At 44.7% G+C, this 23965-nt stretch overlaps 1 protein-coding gene and 1 long non-coding RNA gene across 10 annotated transcripts in view; one reads left to right on the forward strand and one right to left on the reverse strand.

Moving 5' to 3' along the window:
- Positions 1-594: 594 nt before the first annotated feature.
- ZNF454-DT (ZNF454 divergent transcript) lies at positions 595-2934 on the reverse strand. Its single transcript, NR_186409.1, has one exon. It is a non-coding gene; the product is annotated as a ZNF454 divergent transcript (long non-coding RNA).
- A 182-nt stretch (positions 2935-3116) lies between these two features.
- The window catches only part of ZNF454 (zinc finger protein 454), a 48831-nt gene continuing 27982 nt past the window's right edge, over positions 3117-23965 (forward strand). For 2 of the 9 annotated variants that reach the window (XR_007058600.1, NM_001178089.3), the window contains exons 1-4: positions 3117-3363; positions 4604-4743; positions 8278-8404; positions 8816-8905. Coding sequence is in view for 8 of the 9 variants with exons in the window: in NM_001178089.3 (NP_001171560.1) it covers positions 4711-4743; positions 8278-8404; positions 8816-8905 (250 nt within the window). In the remaining variant the exon portion in view is untranslated. Of the gene's footprint in view, positions 3364-4603; positions 4744-8277; positions 8405-8815; positions 8906-18824; positions 22842-23965 lie in introns of those variants that run through there. The other 7 variants (NM_001323307.2, NM_001323308.2, NM_001323310.2 and 4 more) reach the window with 7 other exon arrangements.

The raw sequence follows: 23965 nt of genomic DNA on the forward strand, positions 1-23965 counted from the left end.
GAACAGAAGACGGGAGGAAATGAGAAGGTGCAGGGAAGAATAGGAGTAATGGCAAGAGAGGCTAAGAGAGCATAGTGTATATTCAGGAAATTCTAAGAGATGTATGATTTAAGCATAGAGTAGAAGTCAAGAAGCAGGAAGAAATGAGGCTAAAGGAAGACCTTATTATATCACGCTTCAAGGGTCCCAACAGGGCTCAGCAAATGGACACCAGGAATTACTGGCACGTAGCCACTGTCCTGGGGAAGCGTAAGCAGACTGGTGATGGAGGTCTTGGTCAAATGTAAGTGTTCATTTGCATATCCATAGTTAATAGAGCAGAAGGGAAAGGGGTTCTCCAGACCACGTTTTAACCTCCTTTCTCCGAGGAGACTGGTTCCTGATGAGAATCCTTGACAGAAGCGGGGGCTTCCTCAGTGAATACTCAGAACAATATAGTGTGTGAGTCCTGGCTAAAGTCAAAGGGTGTGTCAGGCTTCATATCAGAGGTTTCACTGCTTCTCTTCAGCTTGAATAGTTTTGTTTTTTAGTTGGCTGTGGAAGGGCACCTGTTAGGTACTCCTAACAGACTACAGCATCACCAGGACAAATGGGTCAGATAAATGAAGGTTTTATTACTGTTTTCAGTTCTGGAAGACTTGGGCCTTTGTATGTCAGTTCTTTGCCATCTGGGTGACAAGTAATAAGAGCACTTTTGAACCTTCCAACATCAACAGGAGAAGGACTCCTGGTTCCAAGGACATGGGACCTGAGCAAGGCACTTAACAGATGAGTGCCTCAGTTTTCTCATTTATTAATAGGGCAAACCTCAGTTTTTGGTTGCATTAGATAATGTAAAGTGCTTGTAAAAGTGCCCAACATGGCCAGGCGCAGTGGCTCATGCCTGTAATCCCAGCACTTTAGGGGGCCGATGCGGGCGGATCACCTGAAGTCAGGAGTTCAGCCTGACCAACCTGGGGAAACCCCATCTCTACTAAAAGTACAAAATTATCCAGGCGTGATGGCGCATGCATGTAGTCCCAGCTACAGGGGAGGCTGAGGCAGGAGAATTGCTTGAACCCGGGAGGCGGAGCTTGCGGTAAGCCGAGGTCATGCCATTGCACCCCAGCCCGGGCAACAAAAGTGAAACTGTGTCTCAAACAAAAAAACTCCCAACATGTAGTTAGTGCTCAATACATATTATCATTCTTAAATTCCTGAAAACAATAATATCCAAACTCCTGAGCATAGCACCCAAAACCCTTCAATATCTTAGAATCATTAGGCTCTCAAAGCAAATGCCTTGTGGAAAGGTTATATAATTGTGGGAGGCTACTTGTAATTGTGGACTGCTGTCATTGCCTCCTCATTGGTCTTCCTGTATCCCCTCTAGCCCCACCACTGTCTGCCTTCTTTGAAGCTGACCAGTGCGTCTATCAAAACGTGCCCAGCCATGTCACTCTTTCAAATCTAATCATTTCCAGGCACAGAAATAAATCCAAATTTCCTTCCTTCAAGGCCTGTAGTTACTCCTGCAACAGCATCTCGCAGTCTTCCTTGTTCAGTAGGCCCTCGCCAGTCATACTGACCTTGCCAAGCCTGGAGTTCACCAAGCACACTTCTCTCTGGTCAGCATTTCTGTTCCCTCCCTTTAGAAGGCACTTTACCCATACAGTCACATCGTTTCTTCCCTCACTGTATTCAAATCTCTGCTCAGGTGTTACCTCCTCAAAGAGAACTTCCAAAACTGCTGCTTGAAATAATTCCCCGCCCCATCACACCCTAACCCCTAACAGTAGTGTTATCACTACCAGATAAATACTTTCTACTTGTCTGACCCCTCCTCTAGTACAATTAAAACTCCATGAGTGCAGGGTTTTCACAGCTATTTCTCCAGCCCCTGGACTCGGGGTTCTTACTCTCTGGAGCCCAGTTTGAGTGACCTGGAGTCACGAGGGAGGCGAGAGAGAAGGGTTACCAGCGATACTCACACAACATCCTCCCCCTCTGGTGCTTTGCCGGGTCCCTGGGAACTGCTACAGGGGCTGCACAGCGGCTGACCCTGGCCTTGTCAAGCACTTGACACATAAGTGCTCCAAAGTGTCTATGGAATGAAATCTTCAATAAAACTCCAAACAGAATGCTGTAGTCACTGACACTGCTTCCTAAAACGTGGCCAACAATTCCGTATGTGACAAACAGGTCACATTCTTGATTTTTTTTAACGACCAACAAAGTTAAAACCCTCTCATCTTTCCTTCCTGAGCTCCATGCAAATTACCTATTCAAAAGCAACTAAGTATCTCCAGTTGGATATTCTTAGGCATCATCTCATCCTTGCCAGTCTCTGCAAAATATGGTCGACAAAAATAAATACCACCTTCTTAAATACCACCCAGCTGTCCAAGATGGAGACTTCCTGGCATCCAGGCGCCTTCCTCTCCCTCGTCCCCACCTCTGAGAAGTTCCCAAGCACGAAGTGTTCTGCGTCCCGAACATTCCAGGGGCCGCCAGCCACCATGGGCTCTGTCCTGAGGTGCCAAGCAGGACATCCCTGCCCGACATCCTTGTCCTCCCGCACCGCACACGCGTTAGTGGCTGTGGCGTCGCCACCCCAGCACACGCTGGCCCGCCCGCAGTGCCAGGCTGGAAGTGTCGGGCGCTTGCCAGGCCAAGGGGCAATTCTGTTGCCTTCCAGGCCTTTTCGGCGCGGTCCCAGTCAGGAACGCGCCCTGTCGCCTCCCACTCCGTCTTCCGGACCCTCCCGATCCTCTCTCGTCAGCGATCGGGCGTCGCTCCCCTGGACTAACCTCCCTTGCCCCATCTTCAGCTTTTCGCTGATCTGCATCTTCCTGCGCCTTAGTGCAAGGCAGAGACCTGGTTCTAAAGCGAACGGAACGGAACCGATTCTGTAAGTTGCAATGAGCGCGCTGAGGTCGGCGTGGAGGGGTCTCTGGGAAAGGTAGTTTCCGCGCCTAAAGCGCCGGGGCCGGGCCCTGTTCCCGCAGGCGCAAGGCAGCACTGTCTCCGCCGATTGTCCCTCTGGGAAGTGGAGTCTGGCCGGCGGAACTGCAGCAGCCCTGAGACTTGTGGGAATTCGGCCCAAGGGTTCCCAGGGCAACGCGCAAGCGCAGTTCGGCTCCCGGCTGCAGACTCCAGCTCATTGTGTTCTGACTGCGATGTGGCGCTTGCGATCTCTCGCCGCCGGCAGAGGCTCCTCGAAGAGCGACACGGGGCTGACCAGGCACGGTGGTCAAAGCCGCAGAGGGAGAGCGGGAGCGGTCGTGAGGTCGTCTGGGGAGAAGGGCGGAGGCAAAGCCGAGGAGGTGCGGGTTGTGGTCCATTCTGGAGGACGCTGATCGAATGCCCCAAACTTCCCGGAATGTATGTCTGAGATTTGATCCCAGAGAGGGAGGACGGCCAGGGGTGGTCATCCTGGGCTGAGGGTCGAGTCTGTGAGTGCCTGTGGAGGAGATGGAGCCAGGGCCTCTGGCATGTGTCTTGGAGCGGACTCCGAGAAGCCCAGGGTTTCCTCTCAGGTGATAGATACACGCCTGGCGTGGTTCCGAGTCCTGCGCCAGGAACTCGCCAAGGCCGGAGGCAGCCGCTGCGCAGCCCCTGCCACAGCCCCCGAGGGACCTGGCGAAGCGGCAGGGGCGGGACGGGGCTGTGTGTGATTAGGGTTCCTAACCCTTCCCTCTCCCCTCCCGCCCAGCTCACACAAACGCCGCTTCTGCCCACCCGTGACTCCAGGCCACCCAGACTGGGCCCCAGAGAGTGAGAACACTGAGGCCAGAGAAGGGTTTGCCTGAGAGGCTTCGACAGTGAAGAGCCTTCTTAGCCTCCTTTCTGAGGAGGAAGAAGACCACCCTCCTTTTCCTCTTCTCCTGTCACTGCCAGATAAGGCAGCTGTTCCAAAGCCGCAGAGGGAGAGCGGAGCGGTCTTCCAATCCAGTCGAACCCAGACACTGCCCTCCGTTGCCTCTCCCCAGCGCTCCCACCTTTTCGGGTACATCCTGGTGGGTTCTGGAGCTGAATAACTTGTTAAAGAGATAATTCTCGGCCGAGTGCGGCGGCTCACGCCTGTAATCCCAGTACTTTGGGAGGCCGAGGCGAGCCGATCACCTGAGGTCCGGAGTTCGAGACCAGTCCGACCAACATGGTGAAATCCCGGTCTCTACTAAAAATATAAAAAATTAGCCGGGCGTGGTGGCGGGTGCGTGTAATCCCAGCTACTCCGGAGACTGGGGCGGGAGAATCGCTTGAACCCGGAAGGCGGAGGTTGCAGTGAGCCAAGATCGTGCCACTGCACTCCAGCCTAGGTGACAGAGCGAGACTCTGTCTCAAACAAACAAACAAAAAAAGAATTCTCTTGAGATCGCTCAGTGAGGCTGAAGGGAAAGACCAGAGGGTGGGTGGAAGGCATGAGAACTGGACCTGGAGCAGGCTTTCTGCAGGGAAAAGTCAATGTATAGTACCCTCAGAAGGAGGAGAGAGAATGGGGAGCAAACAGGAACCAAAACACTCACTGCTTGGGGTACTGGAGGCCTCCCAGGATGTGAATGCTCACTGCCTCGCTCTGGACTGCTGTATGAGAGCTTTTGACCCAGTTCTCTCCTAATAGCAGGTGTGTGGACCCTTCTAGCCTGAGGAGTCCTGCAGGTGTGAAGCTCCACACCTGCCTCCATAGCACTTTGCCTGTCCCTAAGAGGGCTCATCGGAGAAGAAAGAATGGCTGTCAGCCACCTGCCAACCATGGTCCAGGTGAGTGGGGGTTTCTTCCCCCTAAATTGCTTTCTGGATTTGAAGAGTGTGGCATGTTTGCTTCCTCAGACCGGGAGCTTTATTCCCAATCCAGTCCCACCCAGACACTGACCTCAGTTGCCTCTCCCCAACCAACACCCTCCAACCCCGCCCCATATCCGGCTCATCCTGGTGGGTGTTGCAGCTGTATAACTTGCTAAAGGTCACATAAATGTCACAGCTGGGACTGGAACCCAGGTCCCTGTGAAATCAAAACCTGTACTCTTTTCACTAGCAAGTAAGATTAGGGATCTGAAGTGGTAAAAGCATGTATTAGTCCCTTTTTACATTGCTCTAAATAAATATCTGAGGCTGGGGAATTGATAAGAAGTTTAATTGGCCCACGGTTCTGTAGGCTGTACAGGAAGCATGGTGTCAGCATCCACTTCTGATGAGGACTTTAAAAGCTTCCAATCATGGCAGAAGGTGAAGGGGGAGCAGGTGTATCACACGGTGAGAAAGGGAGCAAGAGAGAGAAGTGGGAGGTCCTAGACTCTTAAACAACTGGATCTCACGTGAACCAACTGAGCGAGAATTCACTCATCACCAAGAGGATGGCACTAAGCCATTCACGAGGGATCTACCCCCATGATCCAACACCTCCCACCAGGCCCCCCCTCCAACATTGGAGGTCACATTTCAACAGGAGAGTTGGAAGGGACATACATCCAAACTATATCAGGGCAGTATCTCACACAGAGCTCAAAGAAGGGCATTGTAGGAACACTTTTCTGGGGAGGTGTGATTTACTAGACTCTTTTTCTTTTATGACATTTGGTTTTTTTACCAATGAAATTATTCAAAAGACTATTCTGCCAAAAAGTCCTATAAATTCCTAAAACGCTTTGAGCAGTCCTAGCATCTTTAGAATAAGAATATGGGCCAGACGCGGTGGCTCACGCCTGTAATCCCAGCACTTTGGGAGGCCAAGGCCAGCGGATCACGAGGTCAGGAGATCGAGACCATCCTGGCTAACACAGTGAAACCCCGTCTCTACTAAAATTACAAAAAAAATTAGCTGGGCGTGGTGGTGGGCGCCTGTAGTCCCAGCTACTCGGGAGGCTGAGGCAGGAGAATGGCGTGAACCCAGGAGGCGGAGCTTGCAGTGAGCCAAGATTGTGCCAGTGCACTCCAGCCTGAGTGACAGAGCGAGACTCCATCTCAAAAATAAAAAATAAAAAAGAATATGGACTGTGCTTTGAAGGAGACAGCATTCATTTGGGCATATACATTCTGATACATTTGGTTAAATTGTTCTAATTCCTTCACATTTAAACCTCCCCAAGGACTGGGATGTGTGGCAGGAATCACTGGAAAGGATGACCAGCTAGGTGGGAGCGCCATGTTCAACATAGCACAGCTCACCGGCTGTTCCCCTCCTCCTCTTGGCTTCTGACTTGTCACTTAGGACCCTTCTCATGCACCACTTTTTCTGCAAAACCTGTCCGCACCCACAGTGCCAGTCTACTGTGATATTTTCCTTCCTTAACCTTTTCCTCAAAGTCACTGTCGGTGTCATACAATTTATCTTGTGTTTATAGGCTGCCTTGATTTGGTTGCCATTCAGCAGACATATGTTAGGGCTGTAAAATGTGCCAGGAATTATGATCTGGGCTACAAATACAAAGTGAACGATAAATGGGCCCTGACAAATTGGTTCATGGCTTCCATCCAAGTGTTTCTTGACTGCCTGTCATGGGCCAAGTCTCTGGGTGCAGGTAACGGAAACCTAATTCAGACTGCCTCAGGCAGAAGCAGGCACTGACTGGAAAGATATGGAGGTGTTCCCCCAAATGCAAAGGCAAAGACACAGCTAGATGTTGACTGTGGAAGTGGGATCTACAATAACCTGAGAGTCCTTTCTCTTGGACCTTTGGTTCCTTCTCTGGGCTTCTGCTTACCTCTTTTTTCTCAGTGAACACCAGCTCCCTTAACTTCTCAGCCAACTGGGAAGACAAGAGCTGTGATAGCTACTGGATTTTACATGCTAGGTTAGGTTTCGGCTACACCTGTGTGTCAGGACAGAGAGACTTTCCTCTGTGACCCCCTCTCAGAGTTTCTAAGAAAGGGACTAGTTCTAATCAGAAGGAACAAGTTTCCTATTGTGCAGAATGACTGGTTCCATGGGACCCATGTGTGTGTATGCACATGTGCACACGTGTGCATGTGTGTGTGTGTGTTGAGGGTGTGTGTCACAGGGTGTGTGTGGGGGTATTTGTGGGGGGGTGTGTGTGTTCGGGTGTGTGTGCGCGCTTGCATGTGTGCGTGTGTGTCGTGTGTGTGTTGAGGGTCTGGGGGATGTGTAGGGCTGTGTCTTTGTATGTGAGTTTGTGTGTATGTGTCTGTGTGTTTGTGTGTGTGTCTCTGTGTGTGTATTTGTATGTTGGGGTATGGGTATGGGTATGTGTTGTGTGTATGTGCATGCGCACTTGTGTGGTACGTGTCTGTCTGTGTATGTTTGTGTGTGTTTGTATGTGGGTGTATGGATATGGGTTGTGTGTGTGTGTCTCTGTGTCTGTGTGTGAGTTTATGTGTGTTTGTGAGGGGTACGGATATGGGTGTGTGTATGCTTGTGTGTGTATGTGAATGTGGGGGGGGTGTGTCGTGTGTGTGTATGTGGAGGGATATGGGTGTGTATGCTTGTGTCTGTGCATCTCTGTGTGGGGGGTGTGGGTATGGGTCTGTGTTTGTATATAGGTGTATGTGTGTGTCTGTGTGCTTGTGTATGTGTCTCTGTGTGTAGGGGGTGTGGATATGGGTGTGTGTTTTGTGTGTGTGTGTATGTGGAAGGGTATGGGTATGTATGCTTGTGTGTGTGTGTCTCTGTGTGTGGGGGGGTGTGGGTATGGGTGTGTGTGTGTGTTGAGGATGGGGAGGTACACACTGAAGAAAAGCAGGAGTTGCTGAGCAGCCACAGATAGGTGTCGAGTACATGGGCCGTGTTCCAGATGCAGGGAAGGCCAAGAGATGTAGAGACAGACAGTCCACATCTTGGAGTTAACAGTCCAGCGGGGGAGACTGAAGGTAAACCAAACATCACAATAAAATGGGACAGTGTCTTGATGGGCCCTCATAGGCAACTGTAGGAGCCATCAGGGAAGGCTGCGCTGAGCGAGCGGTGTTGAGTGAGCCGTGTCTATGCTGAGACCTGCGTAGGATTTGGTCCCCTGGGGTGAGCGGAGAGGCAGGGCTAGGCGGTTTGAGGGAGATGGAGAAAATGTTCTGGGCTAAATGAATGGCAAGTTGGAAGTCCCAGTGCTGAGAAAGCCTATCTTCGCCACCATATATGTTTCTTCAGCGTGGAGAGCAATGTCTAGTCCAAGGCTAGGCCCCTAGGAGACCCTGAAGAGTGATGAACTTGTCACAGAACGCCAGCTCCCTGTGTGCCAGCAGTCCTGTAAATGCGCACAAGCTCCTAGGGGCTGCCAGTCTCTTTTCCAGAGAACCATGTGCAGGGGTAGCCCCTGGTCAAGGAGAATGAATTTGCTGTTGCAGGAATCGGTGACCTTCAAGGATGTGGCTATACTGTTCACCCAGGAAGAGTGGGGGCAGCTGAGCCCCGCCCAGAGGGCCCTGTACAGGGACGTGATGCTGGAGAACTACAGCAACCTGGTCTCACTGGGTAAGTGGGACCCCTGCAAGGTTTCTCTTCACTTTTGGGGATCTCTTTGGGACCCTTACATTGACACCATATAGAAGAGTCGGTTGGACCAACTGAGGACGCTGTCTTCAAGGGTGCCATTAATTTTACCTGTCCTTGGTGTCCTGGGCACAGGCCTCTTTTGGAGTCCACTGCGGATGCCTCAAAAGTGACTAGGGTCAAATGCTTTCTTTCTGGCAAGGAGGGGAACATGGGATAAGATTGTGTCAGGCCTGAGTAATCTTTTCCTCCCTCTGGGAACACACCTGACCCTGGGCTTTCCTATCAAGTCCCATTTCCCAGCAAGCTCTGAGGACCAGGCTTTGTCTTTGCAGTGATTTTTATCTCTCGTATAAACAGATGTGGTTCATTTTTGTCTCCCCTTAAAAACAGGACTCTTAGGACCCAAACCAGATACGTTTTCCCAGCTAGAAAAAAGGGAAGTGTGGATGCCAGAGGACACCCCTGGAGGCTTCTGTCTTGGTAAGAATCATGTGTGTGGGAGACACCGGGAGGAGCCCTGCTGGGTAGGGAAGGCTCCGTAGGGAAGGCAGGGAGGCTTGCAGATGCACCTGCCTGAGGATTGAGAAAGAGCCTGTTTCACATTCGTTCACCTGAATACCTTGTTGCTACTTTTGTTCCAGCCTGCACTACCAACATGTAGCAGGCCTGGACCCTCCCCGCAATGATTTTTCTTCTCTCCCTGTTTGGCGTAGATTAGTAGAGTCTCTGGTCTAGAAAAGACTCAACTTCATCTGGGCAGTTCTCCCCACACCCCCATTCATGGGTGTCCTGTTCAGCATCTGACAGTGCAGTCTCTGCCTGCCCTTCTCTCATGAGGAGCCACAGCATGGCAGCTTCTGGTGTTAAGAGCCAGTTATCATGTGCCCACAAGGTATCTCCTCTAGCTACACATTGCACTTGTCTTCAACTACCTCCATATGTGTTTGTCCACGTGGGTTATTTATCTTCTACGTTTTGCTGGCCATTGTCTTTGACTGCAAGTGCCATGGAGCCCAGGTTATTGTATATTTTGCTGTGTTGCTCACACCTAGCGTAGTGCTTGGCACCTAGTAAGTGGCACAGACTTGTTGCCTGGGGATACAAAAGACATGACAGTTTGGTGATGGTTACTTGTCTTGAGAAGCTCATTGTATCGGTGGCTTAAGGGCAGTGGTGTGTTTTTCTCCCTTAATCCCCAGTATTCGAGAGAGCTTGGTGCCTTATCCAAGCACTGTAGCGTCTCCCTGTCAGCTAGCATTTTGCAGGCTGTGGAGTATTTTTATAAACCTTTTGCTACAGATTCTTCACGGTAACCCAATGCAGTAGGCGGGAATTTATATCCTACAATAAATAACTGTGTACCTGGAATATCTAGAACCCAATTTGTTATGGAAATTAAATATCTCTTTATTTTTTTTTATTTTTTGAGACGGAGCCTCGCTGTGTCACCCAGGCAGGAGTGCAGTGGCGCAATCTCAGCTCACTGCAACCTCCGCCTCTTGGGTTCGAGCAATTCTCCTACCTCAGCTTCCCGAGTAGCTGGGATTACAGGCGTGTGTCACCACGCCTGGCTAATTTTTGTATTTCTAGTAGAGATGGGGTTTCACCATGTTGGCCAGCATGGTGTCGAATTCCTGATCTTAAGTGATTCGCCCCCCTCAGCCTCCCAGAGTGCTGGGATTACAGGCGTGAGCCACCTCATGTGTCTAGAAATTAAAAATCTTAACTCTAAAACTCAGTTGTCAACAAACAATTTTTAATATACCCAATAATATTCTGAATAGTCTATGAATTTGTATATTCCATTACCAAACTAAGGCATTTTAAATATTTTATTCTGTATTATACAAATAGTCTTATAACAAAAATGGAGGCAATTAAAAGAAATTCATCCACAGTTCTACCACCTTGGCATCACTGTTTTCACCTAAATCATTCAATCATCCATTCATTCATGATTCATGGAGTCTAATTCTTCATTGCACCCTTGAGAGAGGAGTATGGAGGTGAAGAGGACTTTTGTGCCTACAGAGATTTCATAGTCAGGTGTGGGTGATGACATGAAGGTACAGCCAACCACAGTTCAGTGCATCTGGGCCCCTGCCCACACTCTGTTCCCGCAGGCATGATTTCTGAGTTTCGTGGAGATGCCGCACTGAGGCTGGTTTGGGAAGGGTGATTAGCAGTTAGCCAGTCAGACGTCAGAGAAGACTTAATTTATGTCTCAAGAAAGTTTTATAGCTTTCCCATTTCCTATTAAAATTTTATATGTAGATCTAATTTATGTAAAATTTAATATATATTTTATATAAATTATTCTATGAATTTATATAATTTATATTTAAAAATAAATAATAAATTTACATAATGTATAATTGATATAAATTATATGTACACAGATTTTTTTTTTTTTGAAGACACAGTCTCCTTCTGTTACCCAGGCTGGAGTGCAGTGGTGTAATCATGGCTCACTGCAACCTCAGGCTCCTAAATAGCTGAGACTACAGCTGCTTGCCACTGCCTGGCTAATTTTTATTTATTTTTTATTTTTTATTTTATTTGAGTTGGAGTCTCACTCTGTCACCCAGGCTGGAGTGCAGTGGTGCAGTCTCGGCTAACTGCAACCTCCGTTCTCCCGAGTTCAAGCGATTCTCCTGCCTCTGCCTCCCAAGTAGCTGGGATTACAGGCGCCTGCCACCTCGCGCAGCTAATTTTTTGTAGTTTTACTAGAGATGAGGTTTTGTCATGTTGGCCAGGCTGTTCTCAAACTCGTGACCTCTGGTGATCCGCCCCCCTCAGCCTCCCAAAGTGCTGGGATTACAGGCGTGAGCCACTGTGCCTGGTCTTTTTTTTTAGTAGTTTGCCCAGGCTGATCTCAAACTCTGGACTTCAATCCTCCTACCTCAGCCTCCTAATAAGGTTATATTTTTAAAAAATAGATCTATTTTGTTTTTTGTCCACTGGGAATTTCTGCTATGATGACGTGCTGGTCATTTTCAAATAGCTACTATTGTCACTTGTCAGTTTCTAATTCATGTTCATTCTCAACATATTTGTTGGATTCATTTTTAGTTTTTTTCTCTTATTTCTGTTTCATTTCCTTTTTTTTGTTTTTTGTTGTTGTTTTTTGAGACAGAGTCTCGTTCTGTCACCAGGCTGGAGTGCAGTGGCGCAATCTTGGTTCACTGCAATCTCCGCCTCCTGGGTTCAAGTGATTCTTCTGCCTCAGCCTCCCAAGTAGCTGAGATTATAGGTGTGCACCACCATGCCCAGCTAATTTTTGTATTTTTAGTAGAGATGGGGTTTTACCATGTTGGCCAGGATGGTCTTGATCTCTTGACCTCGTGATCCGCCCACCTTAGCCTCCCAAAGTGCTGGGATTACAGGTGTGAGCCACCACGCCCGGCCTCTGTTTCATTCTTAATGACTGGCTAAGACATCAAAGACCATAGAGAGCAATGATAATAGGTTTTCAAGGAATTGGATCTAGTAATTTTCCATTGTTGCACTAATTAGTCATGGTTTAGAATGCACACTTTTTTTGTGTGTGGAGACAAGGTCTCACTATGTTGCCCAGGCTGGTCTCAAACTCCTGGGCTCAAGTGATCCGCCAGCCTCAGCCTCCCAAAGTTCTGGGATTACAGGTGTGAGCCACCGTACCTGGCTGACACTTATTTTTAATCATAATATGAAAAAGTCCTTGGTAAATAGCTTTCCTTCTTAGTTTTTCTATTCTCTGTGCCATGAGCTAGGGGAAGGGGAGAAAGCTGACATTTGAGCACCTGTGGATCAGCACCGTGCTGAGAGATTTGGGGGGATTTGTGTTGGCTGCGCCTTTTCATCCTTATAACCTGTGAGGCAAGGATGACTGACTCCACTTCGCAGAAAATGGAGCCTCAACTGCTGAATTAATTTGGACTGATGTAATGCTGCTTTTAAGAGGCAAGTCAGGGTTAGCATGAAGCCGGCAGGAGACTCGCCCGACCCTTCAAGTGTTGCACTTTTTTCCCTTCTCCAAAATAGTTTTAATTACATATAAATTGTCCACTCACCAAACGTAAAGGAATGCTCAGCCAAAGGCTCACCAATGCTCGGTGATTCCTTAATTGAGGAGTTGCTAATACCTTTTATAATTTCTTCCTTATTTATTAATCTGTTGAGGTTTATTTTTGCTACATCGATTGTACATTTTATTCTTTAGCTTTATCTTTTTTGAGTTATAAAATGTATTAGATTACAACTATGTATTATCTATTATTTTAATATTGTATATTATGTCCTCTTATTTCCAATTTTATCTGAACTTTTTTCTCTTAAATTTGCTTGGAATTTTCTTTTAAAGAACCATTTCTTTCTTTTTTTTTTTTTTGAGACAAGAGTTTCGCTCTTGTTGTCCAGGCTGGAGTGCAGTGGCGTGATCTCGGCTCACTACAACCTCTGCCTACCGGGTTCAAGCTATTCTCCTGCCTCAGCCTCCAGAAGAGCTGGGACTACCGGTGCCTGCCACCACGCCCGGCTAATTTTTGTGTTTTTAGTAGAGATGGGGTTTCACCATGTTGGCCCAGATGCTCTCGATCTCCTGACCTTGTGATCCGCCCACCTCGGCCTCCCAAAGTGCTGGGATTACAGGCATGAGCCACTGCACCCGGCCTTAAAGAACTGTTTCTTATTTATTGCTCTTACATGTAATTTCTACACACACCATTATCATTTCTTTGTTTCACTATAAAATAAATTTATTTTGAATATCGTACATCATGTATACACAAAATAATATGTAGTATTTTTGAACAGTTTAAAGAATGATAAGGAAGAAAGGCCCGTGCCTCACCATCCAGCTTGGGTACTGGAGCGCTGCAGCACTTTTGAAGTCCACTGTGCCTCTCTTTGTGTTTTCTTCCTCTTATAACAAAGAGAGCTACTAGCTTGAATTTTATACCAGCATCTCCTGTGCTTCTCTTTGTGGGTTTGCCACAGACGTCTATAGATCTAAGCAATATTTGCTTTGCCGTTGCGTGCTTTAAAACTTAACATGTATGTACTTTACTGTAGAAACCTTTCTACAACTGGCTTTTTTCAGATCCATGTTGAGGCACGTAGCTCTAGGTCATTTCTGAAATTGCACTTTTCCTTCAGTGATATACCTTACTTTATCCAGTCTCCTGCTGCTGGCTGTGTAAGTTATTTCCAGACTTTTTACTATTATGGATAATGCTGACCTGAATATTCTTGTATATGTTTCCTTATATACATGGACCTTGTTTGGGAGTTTCTTTGCGTGTATTCATAGATGTAGAGGTACTGGATTTAAGGTTATATGCTCCTTCAACTTCACTAGATATTCTCAGATTGATCATCAAATTAGTTGTTCCAAATTATACTAACAGTTGATGCAAGTTTCTGTTACTTAAATCCCTGCCCAAATTTGAAACTATCAGAGTTTCTAAAAATTCTGTTAGTCTTATTCCTGAGAAATGGTATCTTGTGGTTTTCATTTATGTTTCCTTCATTACTAGTGAGGTTGAACATCTTGTTTTTTTTTTTTTTTTGAGACGGAGTCTCGTTCTGTCGCCCAGGCGGGAGTGCTGTGGCGCGATCTCGGCTCACTGCAAGCTCCTCCTCCCGGGTTCACGCCATTCTCCTGCCTCAGCCTCCCGAGTAGCTGGGACTACAGGCGCCCGCCACTGCTCCCGGCTAATTTTTTGTATTTTTAGTAGAGACGGGGTTTCACCGTTTTAGCCGGGATGGTCTCGATCTCCTGACCTCGTGATCCGCCCGCCTCGGCCTCCCAAAGTGCTGGGATTACAGGCGTGAGCCACCGCGCCGAGGTTGAACATCTTTTCATATATTTATTGATTATTTACTTTCTACGACTTACACATTCCTATTCTTTGCCCGTTTTTCTATGACAGTTTCTTTTTGTATTCGTTTATAGGAGCTCTGTCTGTATTTAGGAATCTCTACTTTATCAGTTTGTATGAATGTCCGTTATCTTCTCCAGTCTATAGCCTACCGTGTCTCTTTCTTTATGAACAGAAGTTCTTACCTGAGGAAGTAAAATCTATTAGTCTTTGTCTTTATGATCTTTATTCTTAGTGCTTTCGGTGTCCTGTTTAAATCATCTTTCCTATCTTTTGATCCATGAGGGAAGGACTTTGTCTTGTTTGCTCTTGTATCTTGGGCAATACTAGGTCTCAGTATGTATTTGTTGAATAAGTTAATTTCTAATAATATTTACCTTTTTCTTTTTTTTCTGTGTAAATGTTGTCAAAAGTTTGTCTTTTATTAGACTTTTAAATGACTAAACATGTGACTTTGCTGATCCTTTCTATTTTTGTTTATTTTATTAATTTTTGTTCTTCACTGTTTCCTTCAACTTTTTTGGAGTTTATTCTGTTTTTTCCCCCTTTTCTTTATTTTAAGCATTTATTTTTAATTGAAGTAATACAAGCATTTAATGAAACTGTATGAGGTTTGTGGTGAACAATGGTGGCTCTTTCCCCCCACTTCCCCATTTTCCCCTCTCTAGAAGTAGCCACTCCCTCTTCTTTTAGCTGATTATTTGATATATTTGCTTCCATTTCTGCAAGTGACATGTTTGTGTTGCTACCTCTTGACTTTTCAGTTTTAGACATGTATTGAATTCTTTCTATACGAAGTGAGGCTTAAACTCAGCCCCTGCCCCTTCAGTGACTCCTGCTTGTTGGATTTCCATTCGCTGTCCTCTCGGTTGTAGTGTAGCTTTGACTTGGTCAGTAGTCAATGTTTACATTCTTAAACACTAGTCATAACTGAGCTGTGTCGGAAATTATGACCACTTTTGCTTTCCTAAGCAATGTATTCCTAGAATTCATTGGTTCTTAGTTTAGTTTATATTGATCATTAATTTGATCTCATTATTTCTCTCATTGTCTTCATCTTTTCTGGAGCCTTCTGACCTCCATTCTAGAAGGCTTGGCCTTCTGCATCTGGTGCCCAGCTGGCATCCTGAGAATCCCCTTCTATCCTTGGCCGTTCACTACGCTGTTCACTGTGTCTCGTGTCTTCTTTCGTGGTTTGCTCTCTCCTTTTGGTGGCATACATCTCCTTGTAGCTTCCTCAGGAAGAATGCAAGGAAATGCATATTTTCTACCCTAGCCTGTCTGTAGATGTCTTTTTTACTCCCTGACACTTTATGGATCATTCAACTGGATAGAATTCAGCACTGGAAATCATTTTCCTTCAGAAATTTGACATTACTCCATTGTTTTCTGGACCTCAGGCTGCTGTTAAGAAATCCAAAATCACTCTGTTTCTTAATCATTTGTAACCTGTTTTTCCTCTCTGAAAACTTGCAAGATTTTCTCATTTACTCCAGTGATCTTAAATTTCCCAGTGATGTTCCCTACTGTGGTTCTATTTTTATCCACTGAGCATTGGTGAGCCTTTGGCTGAGCATTTAGTGAAACTTTCCGTCTAAAATTCCTGCCCAACCAGGCATGTTGGCTCACACCTGTAATCCCAGCACTTTGGGAGGCCGAGGCAGGTGGATCACTTGAAGTCAGAAGTTCGAGACCAGCCTGGCTGACGTGGCAAAACCCCATCTCTATAAAAATACAAAAATTAGCCGGGTGTGGTGGTGGGAGCCTGTAATCCCAGCTACTCGGAAGACTGAGGCACAAGAATCACTTGAACCCAGGAGGCAGTGGTTGCAGTGAGCTGAGATTGTACCACTGCACTTCAGCCTGGCTGGAGTGCCAGGCTGGACAACAGCTGGGCAACAGAGTGAAACTGTGTCTTAAAAAAATAAAAATAAATAAGTAAAATAAAATTCCTGCCCATTGACTCTAGGACATTTTCTCTATTATTGTTTGATTTCCACCTTCAGTTTTTTTCTTTTTCTCTTTGTGGAATACTTGATACTAATAATGGACACCCTAGATTGGTCTTCTAATTTTCTTATTATCAAAATTCTCATCTTTTATGCACTTTGGTGTATGTGCTTTTTGACAGGTTTCCACAACTTTGTCTTCCAACTCTTCTACTGAGATTTTAAAAATAATTCTTACTCAGCTTCATCAGATTACAATTACATGGAATAAAATTCACCAATTTGAAGTGTAAAATTTGATCAGTTTTGACAAATTTATACAATTTGTAGCCATCACCAAATCAAGGAAGACAACATTTTTCTTATGCCCCAAAGTTCTGTCTTACTCCTTTGCTGTTAATTCCTTCCCCTGCCCACAGGGCCTGGCAGCGACTAACCTACTTGCTGCCACTGCGAGTACCCCTCTCCAGGATTTCATGTGAATGGAGTTGCCCAGTGCGTGCTCTTTCTGTCTGGCTTCTTTACTGGCATGATGTCTTTGACACTCATCCCTGTTGTTTCACATGTCAGCAGTTCCTTGCCATTGCTGAGTAGCCTCCCACTGTATGGATGTACCACGGTTTGCTCATCCATTCATCACCAGTGAGGATTTGAGTTGCTTTCAGTTTTGGGCTAAAGCCACTATGAACATTCTTGTGTAAGTTTTTGTGGATAGTTTACATGTTTTTTTGTGGGCATATGTTCTCATTAGGGTAATTGCCTAGGAGTAGGATTGCTGGTTGTATACTAAGTGTGTGTTTAACTCCGTAATAAACTGTGAAACTATTTTCAAAGCAACCATTCCATTCTGTATTCCCACAGCCATGTATATGGGATCTATCTGGTTGCTTCTTATTGCACTGGTTAGGACCTCCTGCACAAAGTTGAGTAGGAGCTGTAGTGGGGTGGCCTTGCCTTCTTCCCTGTCTTAGTGGGAAAGCATTCAGCCTTTCACCATCAGTATGATGTTAGCAGTAGGCTTTTTGTAGACGCTCTTTATTAGGTTGAGGAAGTTTATGCCCATTTCTGGTTTGATGTGAGAGTTTTATCACAAATAGATACTAAATTTTTGTCAATTGTTTTTCTCAGTCCTTAAGATGATGCTGTGGTTGATAAAATGAATTACATTGGTTTTTAAGGACCAAGTCAAAGTTGTATTACTGGTATAAGCATAACTTAGTCTCAACTTACTATCCTTTTTAAGTATTGCTGAATCAAATTTGTGAACATTTTGTTAAAGAGTTTGCATTGATATTCATGAGTGATATTAGTCTATAGTTTCCTTTCCTTATAACATCTCTGTCTCTGCTCTCAGAGTAATGTTAGTCTCACAAAATGAATTGGGAAATTTCTCCTTCTGTTTTCTGGGAAAATTTGTGTCAAAATGCTGTTATTTCTTTATTAAATATTTGACAGAACTAGTGAAGTCTTCTGGGCCAGGAGCAGAAGACTTGTGGGACAGTTTTAAACTGCAAATTCAGTTTCTGTGGCTTTCTTCTCTTTGGTGGCTTACAGATTGTAGCCATGGCCTTCCCAAACCCTGATCTCTGTGCCCTCAATTTATTGAGACCCCTGGGCTCTGTTTTGCTCCTGTGCCATGACCTGGAGTCTGCCTCCAGGGACTAAACTGGGGCATCTGTAGGTCTTACCTGGCTTGTTTCCCTTCTCTCAGGAACCACTGTCCTCCACCACATTTGTCATTTACCTCAAAACAGTCATTTCCTACTTTTTTCTGGTTTTCTAATTGTTTACAAAAGGAACTCTATTTTGTTTTTGAATCCTCTAATCATTTTTGATTTCCAAGAACTCTTGTTTCTCTGAATATTGCCTTTTTCAAAAATAAGCTCTTATTCCTGTTTTACAGTTAAAATATCTTACATTTAAAGATAATGATTTTCAAAGACATTTTCTTCTCCCATCATTGGGTCCGTTTTCTCTAGTTTTCTGTTTGATGATTTTGGTATTTCTTTCTTGTGAGAAGCTTTCCTCAGTTACAGCTAGTAATCCCTCATTGCCTATCCAGGCAGTGGGAAGACTAACGTCCTTTTTGGACGTTCTGGGTAAGTGGGGCTTCAGTCTTCAACACAGTTCTCCGGCCCCAACACAGTTCTCCCGCCCCAGGCATCTTCCGTCCAGAGCAACTTTGTTTTGCTCTCCTGAAAAGAAAAAAAAAAAAAAAAAAAGCCTCAAGTCTTTTGCCACATTGAGAAAGGGCAAATCCCCCAGTTCCCTTGAGTTGGGAAAAGGATGGGAAGAGGATCTGGGCACCTAAGGTCAGGGTAAACTGACCTTAAACCAGTCTTTATTTTATTTTATTTAATTTATTTATTTATTTATTTATTTATTTATTTATTTATTTATTTATTTTGAGACGGAGTCTCTCTCTGTCACTCAGGCTGGAGTGCAGTGGCACGATCTCGGCTCACTGCAAGCTCTGCCTCCCGGGTTCATACCATTCTCCTGCCTCAGCCTCCCGAGTAGCTGGGAATACAGGCGCCCGCCACCATGCCCGGCTAATTTTTTGTATTTTTTGTTTGTTTGTTTTTTTAGATGGAGTCTCACTCTGTTACCAAGCTGGAGTGCAGTGGTACAATCTCGGCTCACTGCAAGCTCCGCCTCCCGAGTTCAAGCGATTCTCCTGCCTCAGTCTCCCGAGTAGCTGGGACTACAGGCGCCTGCCACCACGCCCGGATAATTTTTGTGTTTTTAGTAGAGACAGGGTTTCACCATGTTGGCCAGGGTGGTCTCGATCTCTTGACCTCGTGATCCGCCCACCTCGGCCTCCCAAAGTGCTGGGATTACAGGCGTGAGCCACCGCGCCCGGCCCAGTCTTTCTTATTTTATTCGTCCTAACTTCCACTTCGAGATAAAATTGATGGGACCAATTCTTGAAACTTTAGGTGATTGAGGAGTGAATTGGTCTAGCGTTTGGTCCCTCCCTGGGTGTGACCTCTTGACAACATTATATAGGAGGCTTGGAACATACTACTTGCATGCCACTTCAAAGCCTACATTAAGGATTTTAAAACCATCTTTTTTATTTTTATTTTTTATTTTATTTTATTTTTTTTGGGGACGAAGTCTTACTCAGTCGCCCAGGCTGGAGTGCAGTGGCACGATCTCGGCTCACTGCAAGCTCCACCTCCTGGGTTTAGGCCATTCTCCTGCCTCAGCCTCCCGAGTAGCTGGGACTACAGTCGCCTGCCACCACGTCCAGCTAATTTTTTGTATTTTTAGTAGAGACGGGGTTTCACCGTGTTAGCCAGGATGGTCTCGATCTCCTGACCTCCAATGTAGGTAGGGGTAGGTCTCCTTAATTTAGCCTACCCTGAAGTGACCTGGGACCCAGTGAGTGTGCCTGAGTTGCTCACACCAGAGTGCTCTTTTGTACTGCAGGCTAAATCAGTGCCAGTAAGACCAGTCTTACTGAACTGGATTAATTCACACCTCAATTAATTTTCAGTGTGGTCAAACCGGGATGCATTTGACTCCCCTCTTGGTAAACTCTATTTGAAGATGAGTGTTATCATGTAATATAAAATATTTAAAAAGTCAAATAATTACCCTCAAAAAATATTTCAAGTCATGTATTCTCTTATACATAGATGATGTGTTTTTAATCACAATCAATAAAAGGTTTTAATAGATGTCAGTATCCAATAGCTGATAGAAAAGAAAGCTAGAAATTGGTGTTTTTATTATTTTTGAAAGCCGTCCCCTAGATTTTTTAAAGCAAACTTTTTTGAAATTTATACAGAAACTGTTTTCTATATACATCTTTATACTAAAAGTACATAGATCATAAATGTCCAACTCAGTGAATTTTTACTGTTTAAATATATCTGTGTAGTCAGCACTCACATCAAGAAATAGAACGTTACCAGCACCCCTTGTAACCACCCAGTCCCCTCGCAGTTTCTTTTGTCGTAAAGGTAACAACTACTCTGGCAATAGATTTGTTTTGCCTGTTTTTAAACTTTAAATCATACAGTATGTACTCTTTTGTGTCTGGCTTCTTGCTTTCAACAGTATGTCTGAGATTCATCCTTGTTGTCACTTGGAACAATAGTTGGTTCATTCTCATTGCTATATAATGTTTCGCCATATAAACCTGTCATTATTTGTACATTTTACTGTTGCTAGACATTTGGTTTATTTCTAGCTTAGAGCTATTACGAATAGTACCATTATGAACATTTCTTCTGCAACTTTTAGAAAACATAGGTACACATTTTCCTTGATTAAATAGCTAGGAGTGCTATGATTATGCATATGCAAACTCTAACAGACAGAGCCAAATAGTTTTCCGAAGTGGTTATACTAATTTATACTCCTACCGGCGAAATGCAAGGTTTCCATATCAACTCTTATACACGTAGTATTATCGTTACAAAAGGTTTTCTACCATTCTAGAGGATGTATGGTTATAACTGAAGTTGATCTTCTTACTTTTAGAATTTCAATACCCTCTTTTTTAAAGTATCTATACATCTTTGCCCCACTTTTATTTTGTTGTCTGATCTTTTGTTATTGGCTTATAGGGCTGTATATTTGAAATGCAGAATCTTGTCATATATATGCAAATATTGTTTCCCACTCTGGATAATGATGTCATCTGATAAATAGAAATTCTGAATTTTGAGATACCTGAATTCATCAGAGGTCTTTTTTTTTTCTTTTTCTGCCTATGGTTAACGCTTGTTGTGTTCTATTTAGGACATCTTAAGCACATGAAGATCTGTGTTTTCCTATAGTAGCTGTAGTATTTTGTCTTAAATACTTGAGTCTACAGTCCATATGGAAGATTGATTGCTCATTATTTTCTATAGGGGTATCCAGTTGACCCAGGATCACTTGCTAGAAAGACTGCCTTTTCCCCCATTGTACTGCACTGTCACCTTTGTCATATATGAGGTGACTGCATGTACGTGGGTCTCATTCCGGGTTCCATAATCTGTTCCATTGGTCTGTTTGCATACAGATTTGTTTCTGGACTCTATTCTCTTTCATTCTTTCTGTCTAATCTTGTGCCAACACAACATTGCTTTAGATTACTCGAGCATTATAATAAGCCTTACACTTGCTGACGTAAATTCTCCAGTTTTGTCCTCTTCTTTTAGAATTTTAGAATTGGCTATTCAATTTTCACAAAATTCCTGCTGGAATTTTGATAAGAATTGGGCTGAAAGTGTAGACTAATGGGGGACAATTGAGAATTTGAGGTCAAATGTGTTTATTGGGTTGTTGAGATCATTTCCTTTTTTTTTTGAGACGGAGTCTCGCTCTGTTGCCCAGGCTGGAGTGCAGTGGCACAATCTCAGCTCACTGCAAGCTCCACCTCCTGGGTTCACGCCATTCTGCTGCCTCATCCTCCTGAGTAGCTGGGACTACAGGCGCCCACCACCACGCCTGGCTAATTTTTTGTATTTTTAGTAGAGACGGGGTTTCACCGTGTTAGCCAGGATGGTCTCGATCTCCTGACCTCGTGATCCACCCGCCTCGGCCTCCCAAAGTGCTGGGATTACAGGCATGAGCCACCGTGCCCGGCCCCTTTTTTTCTTTTCTTTTCTTTTTTTCTTTCTTTTCTTTTCTTTTCTTTTTTTTGTTTTTTGAGACAAGTTCTTGCTCTGTTGCCCAGGCTGGAGTGCAGTGGTGTGATCATTGTTCATGGCAACCTTGAACTCCTGGGCTTATGGCGATCCTCCCACCTCAGCCTCCTGAGTAGCTGGGACTACAGGAACACATCACCATGCCTGGCTGATTTTTAAAATTTTTTGTAGAGACGAGGTTTCACCATATTGCCCAGTCAGGTCTTGGACTCCTAGACTCAAGCGGTCCTCCTGCCTTGGCCTCCCAAAGCACTGGGATTACAAGCATGAGCCACTGTGTCCAGCCCATTCCTTTTCTTTTTTTTTTTTTGAAACGTAGTTTCGCTCTTGTTGCCCAGGCTGGAGTGCAATGGAAAGATCTTGGCTCACTGCAACTTCCACCTCCCCGGTTCAAGCGATTCTCCTGCCTCAGCCTCCGGAGTAGTTGGGATTACAGGCATGTGCCACCACGCCCGGCTAATTTTGTATTTTTAGTAGAGACGGGGTTTCTCCTTGGTCAGGCTGGTCGCAAACTCCGGACCTCAGGTGATCCACCCGCCTTGGCCTCCCAAAGTTCTGGGATTACAGGCATGAGCCACCACACCTGGCCAGCCCATTCCTTTTCTTAATGGTTTGATTTCTGAGTCATTGAGGGTGCCATATGAACATTTTTCACTATGATTATTGATTTATCTATTTTTCCTTTTTATTCTATTTTTACTTTATACATTTTTAAAGTTATGTTGTGTGCATACAAATGAAAATTTGTTGTATGTTCCTGGAGAATTGACCCTTTTGTCTATATAAAATACCTTAAAGTCTGTTTTCTCCAATACTGTGTGATTTGTCTGATATTAGTATGGGTATAGCACCTTTCTTTTGTATGATATATCCTTTTTAATTATTTTATTATTTCAGTGTCTATATTTTTGGTATTTCTTTTCTAAATGATACTCAGTTATGTTTTATTTGTTCATCCAGTCTCACAATCTTTTTTTTTTTTTTTGAGACACAGTCTCACTCTGTCGCCAGGCTGGAGTGCAGTGGCACGATCTCAGCTCACTGCAACCTCTGCCTCCTGGGTTCAAGCGATTCTTCTGACTCAGCCTCCCAAGTAGCTGGGATTACAGGTGCGTGCCACTGCACCCGGCTAATTTTTGTATTTTTAGTAGAGACGGGGTTTCACCACGTTGGCCAGGATGGTCTCAATCTCTTGACCTCGTGATCTGTCCGCCTCAGCCTCCCAAAGTGCTAGGATTACAGGCAAGAGCCACCACACCTGGCCCACAATCTTAGTTTTTAAAAATAACTTAGGTAAGTTACTATGTATGGGATTTTATATCTACTATCCTATTATTTATTTTATATTTCACTTACTTGCTTTAAATTCCTTGTCCTTTTTTCCTTCCTTCTATTGGATTAAATACTTTTATTGTGCCATTTTCACTCTGTATTAGCTTGTTAATTAACCTTCTTTACTTAGTCTTTTATTGTTAATAAATAAAACCAGCTTATTACTGTCCAAAATAAATTTTTACTTTTAATAAAATTAAAATTATTGTTACAATCTTAAAAATTAACAGCATTTTTGGCCAGGTGTGGTGGCTCACGCCTGTAATCCCAGCATTTTGGGAGGCCAAGGCGGGCGGATTGCCTCAGCTCAGGAGTTCGCAACCAGCCTGGGCAACACGGTGAAACCCTGTCTCTAGTAAAACACAAAAAAAAAATTAGCTGGGCATGGCAGCGTGCACCTGTAGTCCCAGCTACTCGGGAGGCTGAGGCAGGAGAATCGCTTGAATCCAGGAGGCAGAGGTTGCAGTGAGCTGAGATCACCACTGCACTCCAGCCTGGGCAACAGAGCGAGACTCTGTCTCAAAAAAAAAAAAAAAATTAACAGCATTTTCTTCCTTCTACCTTTATTTTTGCTATGTATTTTAATTCCACATATATTTGCAATCCATTAAGACATTATAATTATTGTCTCATATAATCAATTGTATTTTTGCTTATCCATATATTTAACTTTTCCATTGCTTTTCATGCCTTCTTACATTTTCATATTTCCACATGGAATTATTTTTCTTCTGCCTGGAACACATCTGT

This window comes from Homo sapiens, chromosome 5, assembly GCF_000001405.40.
Source record: "Homo sapiens chromosome 5, GRCh38.p14 Primary Assembly".
Taxonomy (NCBI): domain Eukaryota; kingdom Metazoa; phylum Chordata; class Mammalia; order Primates; family Hominidae; genus Homo; species Homo sapiens.